At 41.9% G+C, this 8,964-nt stretch overlaps 1 protein-coding gene and 1 pseudogene across 1 annotated transcript; both read right to left on the bottom strand.

Moving 5' to 3' along the window:
- RN7SL189P (RNA, 7SL, cytoplasmic 189, pseudogene) lies at positions 221 to 509 on the bottom strand (annotated as a pseudogene).
- RNASE2 (ribonuclease A family member 2) lies at positions 7,652 to 8,601 on the bottom strand. Its single transcript, NM_002934.3, has 2 exons — positions 8,552 to 8,601; positions 7,652 to 8,321 (listed from the first exon to the last, which is right to left on the bottom strand). Exon 2 carries the CDS (start codon positions 8,314 to 8,316, stop codon positions 7,831 to 7,833), a length of 486 nt encoding a protein of 161 aa, NP_002925.1. The 5' UTR covers positions 8,317 to 8,321; positions 8,552 to 8,601; the 3' UTR covers positions 7,652 to 7,830.
- Between the last annotated feature and the right edge of the window lie 363 nt (positions 8,602 to 8,964).

The following is an 8,964-nucleotide window of genomic DNA, read 5'->3' as shown; positions in this document are numbered from 1 at the left end:
CTTGCTGTAGCCAGTGCAGCTGATACTACGTGGAGCCAAAGCAAGTTGAGTGAGCAATCCCAGAGAATAGTGAGAAATTATACGATAGATTCAGTCTACTAATGGCATTTTCCTGCCGCTTGTAAAACACCATTATCTTTTGGGATCTTGGTTAATCCTTCAGTGTATCTTTTATAAATTGTTTGGCAGTAGCTGTGGTTTTTGTTTTGTTTTGATCTTTAGAGATGGAGTCTCACTATCTTGTCCAGGCCGGAGTGCAGTGGCTATTCATAGGCATGATCCCACTACTGATTAGCACAGAAGATTTGACCTGCTCTGTTTCTGATTTGGGCTGGTTCAACTCTTCTTAGGCCACCTGGTTGTCCCTTCCTGCTAGGAGGTCACCATATTGATGCTTAACTTAATATGAACACCCCCATCGGCTTAAGCGCACTTATAGCCCACATCTCCTGGGCTCAAGTGATCATCCTGCCTCTGCCTCCTCAGTGGCTTAGACTACAGAAGCCGGCAACAACTGTCTTTTGACTGTTCAAACCAGTTCCTTTGATTCTTTTTAAAAAAAATTTTAAGTTTTGTGTGTACCTAGTAAGAATATGTGCTTATGGAGTACATTAGATATTTTGATACAGGCATGCAATGTGTAATAATCATATCAGGTTAAATGGGGTACTCATCCCCTCAAGCATTTATCCTTTGTGTTACAAACAATCCAATTATACTCTTATTTTTAAATGTACAATAAAATTATTATTGACTATACTCACTCTGTTGCGCTAACAAATACTAGGTCTTATTCTTTTTTTCTATTTTTTTTGTACCCATTAACCATCCTCGCTTCCTCCGCATCACCCCACTACCCTTCCCGGCCTCCGGTAACCATTCTTCTACTCTATCTCCATGAATTCAGTTGTTTTTGTTTTTAGCTCCCACAAAGAAGTAAGAACATGCAAAGTTTGTCTTCCTGTGCCTGACTTATTTCACTTAACATAATGGCCTCCCGTTCTATCCATGTTGTTGCAAATGACAGGATCTCATTCTTTTTTTGTGGCTGAATAGTGTGATCTACTGATTTTCTTTCTTTTGGGTATATACCTAGCAGTCGGATTGCTGGATTTTGTGGTAGCTCTATTTTTAGTTTTTTCGGGGACTTCCAAACTGTTCTCCATAGTGGTTGTACTAATTTACATTTCTACCAACAGTGTACGAGAGTTCCCTTTTCTCCACATCCTGGCCAGCATTCTTTTTTGCATGTCTTTTGGATAAAAGCTGTTTTCACTGAGGTGAGATGATATCTCATTGTAGTATTGGTTTGTGTTTCTCTGATGATCAGTGATGTTGAGCACCTTTCCATATGGCTGTTTGCCACTTATATGTCTTATTTTGAGAAATGTCTATTCAGATATCTTGCCCATTATTTGTTTATTTATTTTATTATTAGTTTATTTTTTGGGGAGACAGAGTCTCACTCTGTTACCCAGGCTGGAGTGCAGTGGCGTGATCATAGTTCACTGCAGCCTCAGCCTCAGGAGCATATTGTTTAATTTCCATGTGTTTGTATAGTTGTATAGTTTCTAAAACTCCTCTTGTTATTGATTTCCAGTTTTATTCCATTGTGGTCAGAGAAGATGTTTGTTATTATTTGAATGCTTTCGAAAGTTTTAAGATTTTGTTTGTGACCTAACATATGGTCTATCCTTGACAATGATCCATGTGGCTGAGAAGAATGTGTATTCTGCAGCCATTGAATGAAATGTTCTATAAATATCTACTAGGTTCAGTTGGTCTATAGTGAAGATTTAGCCCAATGTTTCTTTGTTGATTTTCTGTCTGGAAGATCTGTCCAATGGTGAAATTGGGGTGTTGCAGCTATCCAGTATTTGGGGCCAATCTCCCTTTTTAGCTCTAATAATATTTGCTTTATATATCTGGGTGTTCCAGAGTTGGATGCATATATATTTGCAATTGTTATATCGTCTTGCTGAATGACTCCTTTATCATTATATAATGACCTTCTTTGTCTATTCTAATAGGTTTTGTCTTGAAATCTATTTTGTCTGATATAACTACTCCTGCTCTTTTTTGGTTTCCATTGGCATGGAATATCTTTTTCCATCACTTTATTTTCAGTCTCTGTGTGTCTTTATAGGTGAAGTGTGTTTCTTGTAGGCAATAGATCATTGAGTCTTTTTTTTTAAACCATTCAGCCATTCTATATCTTTTGATTGGAGAGGATAGTCCATTAGCATTCAATGTTGCTATTAATAGGTAAGGACTAACTCCTCCCATTTTGTTATTTGTTTTATGGTTGTTTTGTTGTCTTCTCCTTCTTTCTTTGATTCCTGTCTTTCTTTTCGTGAAATTGAGTTTCTCTGGTGTATGATTTAATTTCTTGCTTTTAATTTTTTAGTATCTGTTTTATGTTTTTTGATTTGAAGTTATTATGAGGCCCCCAAACAATATCTTATAACCCATTATTTTAAACTGATGACAATTTAGCACTGATTGCTTAAACAAACAGATGGATAAACAAGCAAAAAGAAAATTAATAAAAACCCTATACTTCTGTGAGGCCGAGGCGGGCGGATCACGAGGTCAGGAGATGGAAACCATCCTGGTTAACACGGTGAAACCGTGTCTCTACTGAAAATACAAAAAAATTAGTCGGGCGCGGTAGAGGGCGCCTGTAGTCCCAGCTACTCGGGAGGCTGAGCCAGGAGAATGGCGCGAACCCGGGAGGCGGAGCTTGCAGTGAGCCGAGATCGCGCCACTGCACTCCAGCCTGGAGGACAGAGCGAGACTCCGTCTCAGAAAAAAAAAAAAAAAAAAAAAAAGCCCTATACTTCATTCCCTCACTTTTTACCATTTTGTTTTTCTATTTATGTCTTATTGTACTATGTCTTGAAAAGTTGTTGTAGTTACTTTTGATCAGTTCGTGTTTTTCTTTCCACTTAAGATAATAGTGATTTATACATCACAATTACAGTGTTATAATAGTCTGTGTTTTCTATGTACTTGCTGTTACCAGTGAGTTTTATACTTTCAGGTGATTATTTATTGCTCATTAATGTCTTTTTCTTTCTGATTGAAGTATTCCCTTTATCATTTCTTATAGGAAAGGTTTAATGTTGATAAAATTTCTCAGCTTTTGTTTGTCTGGGAAAGCCTTTACTTTTCCTTCATGTTTGAAGGATATTTTCACTGGATATTTTATTCTAGGGTAATTTTTTTTTCTCAGCACTTTAAATATGTCATGCTACTCTCTCCTGGCCTGTAGGGCTTCCGCTGAAAAGTCTGCCACCAGACATATTGGAGCTCCATTGTGTATTATTTGTTTCTTTTCTCTTGCTGCTTTTAGGATCTTTTCTTTATCCTTGACTTCTTGAATTTGATTATTAAATGCATTGATGTAGTCTTCTTTGGGTTAAATCTGCTTGGTGTTCTCTAATCTTTTTGCACTCAAACACTGGTATCTTTCTCAAATATTGGTACCTTTGGGAAGTTCACTGTTATTTTCCCTTTGAATAAACTTTCTACCCCATCTCTTTCTCTACTGCCTCTTTAAGATAAATAATTCTTAAATTTGCCCTTTTGAAGGCTATGTTCCAGATCTTGTAGCTGTGCTTCATTATTTTTTCTTTTGTGTCCTTTGATAATGTATTTTTCAACTCATCTATCTTCAAGCTCACGAAGTTTTTCTTCTGCTTGATCAATTCTACTATTAAGATATTCTCATGAAATTCTTCAGTGTGTCGATTGCATTTTAAACTCCAGAATTTTTTCAGAATTCTCTGCATTACAAAGCAGAGACTCTTGTTTTCTTTCCTTACTTTCGCTCAAACAAATGATGTTTCTCTCAAACAAATGATGTTTCTCTCTGTGTGTTGAGCTGCCTGGAGCTGGTGGTGGGGTGACACAAACACCCCTGTGGTCACCACCACTGGGACTGTGCTGGGTCAGACCTGAATCCAGCATAGCTCTGGCTCACCCAAGGCCCTCTGTAACTACTACCTGGCTATTGCCTATGGTCACTGAAGGCCCTAGAGGTCTACAATTAGCAGGTGACAATACCCGTCGGGCTTGTGTCCTTCCCTTCAGGATGATGAGTTCCTCTAGGCCTAGGCATGTCCAGAGGTACTATCTGAGAGCCAGGGACCAAAGTAAAAAACCTGAGAAGTTTACGTGCTGTTCTGTTGTACTGTGGCTGAGCTTGCACTCAAGCCATGAGATGGAGTCCTTTCACTCTTCCCTTACCTTTCCACGGGCAGAGGAGCCTCTCCCTGTGGCTACCTCCACCACAGGCTCAAGGGGAGTATTGCCAGGCTACCGCCAATGTTCCCTTAAGGCCCCAGAGCTCTGCAGTCAGCTTGTGGTGAATGCTGCCTGGCCTGGGACTCACGCTTCAGGACAGTGGGTTCCCCTCTGACCCACGGCAGGTCCAGAAATGCCAACCACGAGCCAAGATCTGGAATTGGGGACTCCAAGAGCCTGCTTCGTGCTCTACCCTGCTGTAGCTGAGCTGCTACCTAAGCTGCAAGACAGAGTCCCCTTTACTTTTCCCTCTGCTTTTCTCGAGCGGAAGAATTGTCCCTTCATGACTGCCCCAGCTGTGAATATGGTGGGTCTCATCTGAAGTCAGCATATCTCAGAGTCTCACCCAAGGCCCATGGAGTGTACTACTGGGTATTGCTGCTGGTTATTTAGGGCCTGAGGGTTCTTCAGTCAGCAGGTGATGAATCCTGGCAGGACTGGGTCCTTTCCTTCTAGGCAGTGGGTTTTCTTCTGGTGCAGGGTGTGTCTAGTGCCTGGAATGGCAGCTTCATGACTCTGACTGGTGCTGTATCCTACTGTGGCTGAGCTGATCTTTATGATGTAAGACAAAGTCCTAGTTACTCTTTCCTCTCCTTTCCTCAAGCAGAAGGAAGGAGTCACTTTCATTGCTGTGAGCTGTGCTGCCTGGGGTTGGGGGAGCAGTTGTGCAAGCACTCCCTTAGCTGCCCTGACAAGTGTCACACTAGTGGTGTCTAGGTCCACTGGCTCTGAGCCCAGCACAGCACTGGGACTTGCCTTGTAGTTGTAGTTCTTGTGGCCTAGATTGAGTTTCAAATATATTTAGGACCCCAGAGCACTTTAGCCTACTGTGGCAAGGCTTTCCCAAACTCAGTGTCTGACCGCTGGGATAGGCGATTCCCCTTTTGCTAAGGTGGTCTAAATGCTCCTTCTGTGGGTGGGCTGTGACAGGGCAGCACTGAGTTCAATGCAGATTTCCACAATTGCTGCACTGTCCCTCCCCCACGCTCTCAGATTCTGTCTCAGCTCCATGTGGCGGCTGTTGGGAGATGGGGGAGTGGTGGCCTCAGTGATTCAAAATTGTCTTTCCTAACCTCTTCAGTGCCTCTTTCAGTGATATGAAGTTAAAATAGGTACTATGATTGTTGACTTGATTTTCATTTCCTATGTAGGTGCTTTTTTGTGTGTAGATAGTTGTTAAATGTGGTGTTTCTGCTGGTATGTGTGGGGGTGCAATCAATGGACACTTCTATTGGGCCATCTACCTCAACCCCTTCTCCATGATTCTTTGGCTATCTGAGGCGTTAAATATCTCCTCATGCATTAACCTAAAACAGTTTCTTAAGCGTTTGTTCAGTGTCTTCTGAACCCAAGGGTTACAGCAATGAGACCAAGTCAATTCATACCCCATGATGAACTTCGGCTAAGCCCTGTACAAATTCTCCCTACATATAAGTGAAGAGTGTTGCTATAGCCTGACAGGTCAGTTGTGTACACTTGGATATCAATAGGGTCAACTGAATAGAAGCCTCAAATCAAGACATAAATGCTGGATAATAGGTGTGTGTGGCTAAAATTGTCTGGGTAATAATGCAAATGGTATCATCGCTTCCTGTGCTTTGGAATTTCCCCACACCGAGATTACTTCTGATGTACTTGAAGACTTCTGAAGCCAGAGTTTGGTAAAAAATGGATCTCAAAGTTGGGCTGGAGACAGGTTGTTTCAGAACCACTTGAGGAAATGCTTGAAAATGCAGAATCCTGAGCTCCATGTGCAGATGTTCTGTGTGAGTATATCCGGAATGGAGCCCACGAATCCATAGTGCAAAAATTCCCCCAGGTGATCCGAATGGGAACTACACTAAAGTTTGAAGTTTTTTAGGTGTGGCACTTACAGGCTGGCAGAAAACACTATCAATGAATTTGTGTATAATATTTGATTATGTAGTTTATTATTATCAAAAATTGGTTATTAGTCATTAGGGATTGATTATGAGTATCCCAGTATGGAAGTTTTGGGAAAGATGTCCACCTCTCCTCCAGGCAGCATTACAATCTGTCCATATTGCTGTCTGAACAATTTATCTAATTGCACATTTGACTCAAACCCTGGTTGTACCTCTAGTACAATTGCTAATAGCTGGAGATTTGATGTGCTCATTTAAAAGGAATATCTCTGAGGCTAAACTTATTTTTATCTTGGTTTCACCATGTTTATAGCATTCTTCACTTTTTCTACTTTCTGTTTTTGTGTTTTCTATTGTAACATTCAATCCTATCAAAATTTATCATTCATAAATCATAATGAAACATGTGCATTTTCAGCTTTTTCACTGCAGCCCCTATATCTCTTGGGATAGAAATCATGTCAATAAAAACCAGACTTCAACCATAGAGCATCATATAGGACCTCAGTATCAAATTGGGCTCAATTGTGAAATACAACTAAAACAAGTGGAGATCTATACTCGTTATAGGTTGGTGTCGGGAAGGGGTCAGTGGATGGAAAATTACCTAGAGGAGATATCAAGGCTAGGGAGACCAATGCTAAGTTGATGTAATTGGATTTTTGTTTTTTGAAGGTAGGTCAGGAATCAGTTATCACATGGAGGATGATGGGGGAATTAAGGAATTTGGTCAAATATTGAGGGTGAGAGACTCATGATAAACCAAGTTAGGAGGACTTCTGTTAAACCTGACTTTAGGTCTGGCACTGGTGGCTCATGCCTCTAATCCCAGCACTTTGGGAGGCTGAGGAGGGCGGATTGCCTGAGGTCAGGAGCTGGAGACCAGCCTGGCCAACATCTTGAAACCCCCTCTCTAAAAATTACAAAAATTGGCTGGGTATGATGGTGCATAACTGTAATCCCAGCTACTCGGGAGGCGGAGGAAGGAGAATAGCTTGAACCTGGGAGGTGGAGTTTGCAGTGAGCTGAGATCTCGCCACGCACTCCAGTCTGGGCGACAGAGCGGGACTCTGTCTCAAAAAATAAAATAAATAAAATAAAATAAAATAAAATAAAATAAAATAAAATAAAATAAAAAATAAATACAAATGACTCTACAAGGAAGGACTAGGAAGCCCAACAGGATGACCTAGTTGTGAAGAGGGTTTAGAGGAGATGACTAAAGCTTGATCAAAGCAAGAGTCTTCGACAGTTGCTAGATATCGGTTGAGACCTCAGCTTCTCAGCCTAAAGCAGGGAGAGGGATAAGACTGTGCTGTTTCATGACAGAAAGCGTCTCTTATCTTCAAATCTCTCTGTTTCCCGGAAGTCTCAGGTTAGAGGAAGAAAAATCTCTAGAGTAGATTGTCACTAAATGACAGCAGAGCGGCTAATGAAGACACACAGACACTTTCAGATGAATTTGCAAAGCAGTTTATTGCAGGGTTCACAAGGCACTTCAGCTCAGGAAAGCTGAAGGGGTATGGAGACTGATGAGGACAGATGCTGATACCCAAAGTATATGGAGAGATGGGATCTTGGCTATGATTGAGGAGCTTGGCAGATGAGTGATGATGAGGAGTGCTGATACAGGAGCTTAGATGATTCTATCCAGGTGAACTGGAACCACCGGATACTGTGGAGGGTCTCGTCGTTGATCTCTGTTGTCACATGCAACTATATAGAACATGTTTGCTGGTGTCTGCGCATACCTGCAGTTTGAAATATTCTGTGGACTTGGAGTTGTGAGGTTACAGTGGATTAAAGGCACCTGGCTTCCACTGTGGTGACAATTTTTGCGAGTTTTGTTACTAGGACAGGTCATATTTGGGTTACCACAAACATTAACTACGTTAGCAAAAGTTGTAAGAAGGAAAGTATTTTGGTTTTTGCATCGCCGTTGATAATTGTTAATGACCTGCATTGCATTGGTGCATTGCTGGGAGGTCATATTGATGTGCTGGGTTTCAAACCATTGAGCCCAGGTAAACTGTGGAGGTTTGACATGGAGTGAGCCCTCCACAGCCAGAAGCCCCAACAGAAGAAGCAGACAAATTTGGGAAGTGAACAGTTTTGGAACCATGTTTCCTGTAAGAAAAGAAGAGAAGTAACTACTCCCTGATCGGGTCTTGGTTATGACACACACTGTAGTGTCTTACCCCACAGGCCCCTCTGCGGCCACTCTGGGGTCCCATTTCCTTTACTTCCTGTCTGCAAAGTGTGCAACGTCTCCTAAGCACTAACGTCAGCTCTCTTCTCCCTCAGTTGCTGCCCCATTGCTGCCCCTTCTGTCCCAGCTCTGGGGATCGTTGACTTACCCAGTCTCCGCGCTGTAGCTCCTGTGAGAACTGATCCAGCTGGTTGTTCTGGGGTTCAGGGGCAGCTGGTCTCCCCTACTTGGAACTGTTTAAATAAAGCATCCCTTGGTGGGTTGGGCCAGCAGAGCCCAGAGGGAGGGTCTGGCTCTTGGCCATGCAGAAACCCACAGATTGGTACATAGTCCACTTGTGCAATCATCCTTTTTATTTGATGACTTGGCTGAGCAACGGATACCCAAGGACAGCCCTGCTGCTCTTTCTGCTATAAGGACTCTAATTCCAAGTCATCCTGTGTAAGACAGAGTTTTGCTGGTTAGATCCAAACTCTGGATGAAAACTATATGCTGCCTGCAGAATGACCACAGATTTTATAACTGTCCTCTGGCAGGCCACTAAATGACCAAAGTACATGA

The sequence above is a fragment of the Homo sapiens genome, chromosome 14, assembly GCF_000001405.40.
Source record: "Homo sapiens chromosome 14, GRCh38.p14 Primary Assembly".
Classification (NCBI taxonomy): domain Eukaryota; kingdom Metazoa; phylum Chordata; class Mammalia; order Primates; family Hominidae; genus Homo; species Homo sapiens.
The sequence above is the reverse complement of the archived record's forward strand: the minus strand, read 5'-3'. Positions and strand labels throughout refer to the sequence as shown.

What these genes read in the sequence shown, in the direction of transcription:
- RNASE2 (NM_002934.3), bottom strand. Translation starts at nt 8,316, where the DNA reads ATGGTTCCAAAACTGTTCACTTCCCAAATTTGTCTGCTTCTTCTGTTG.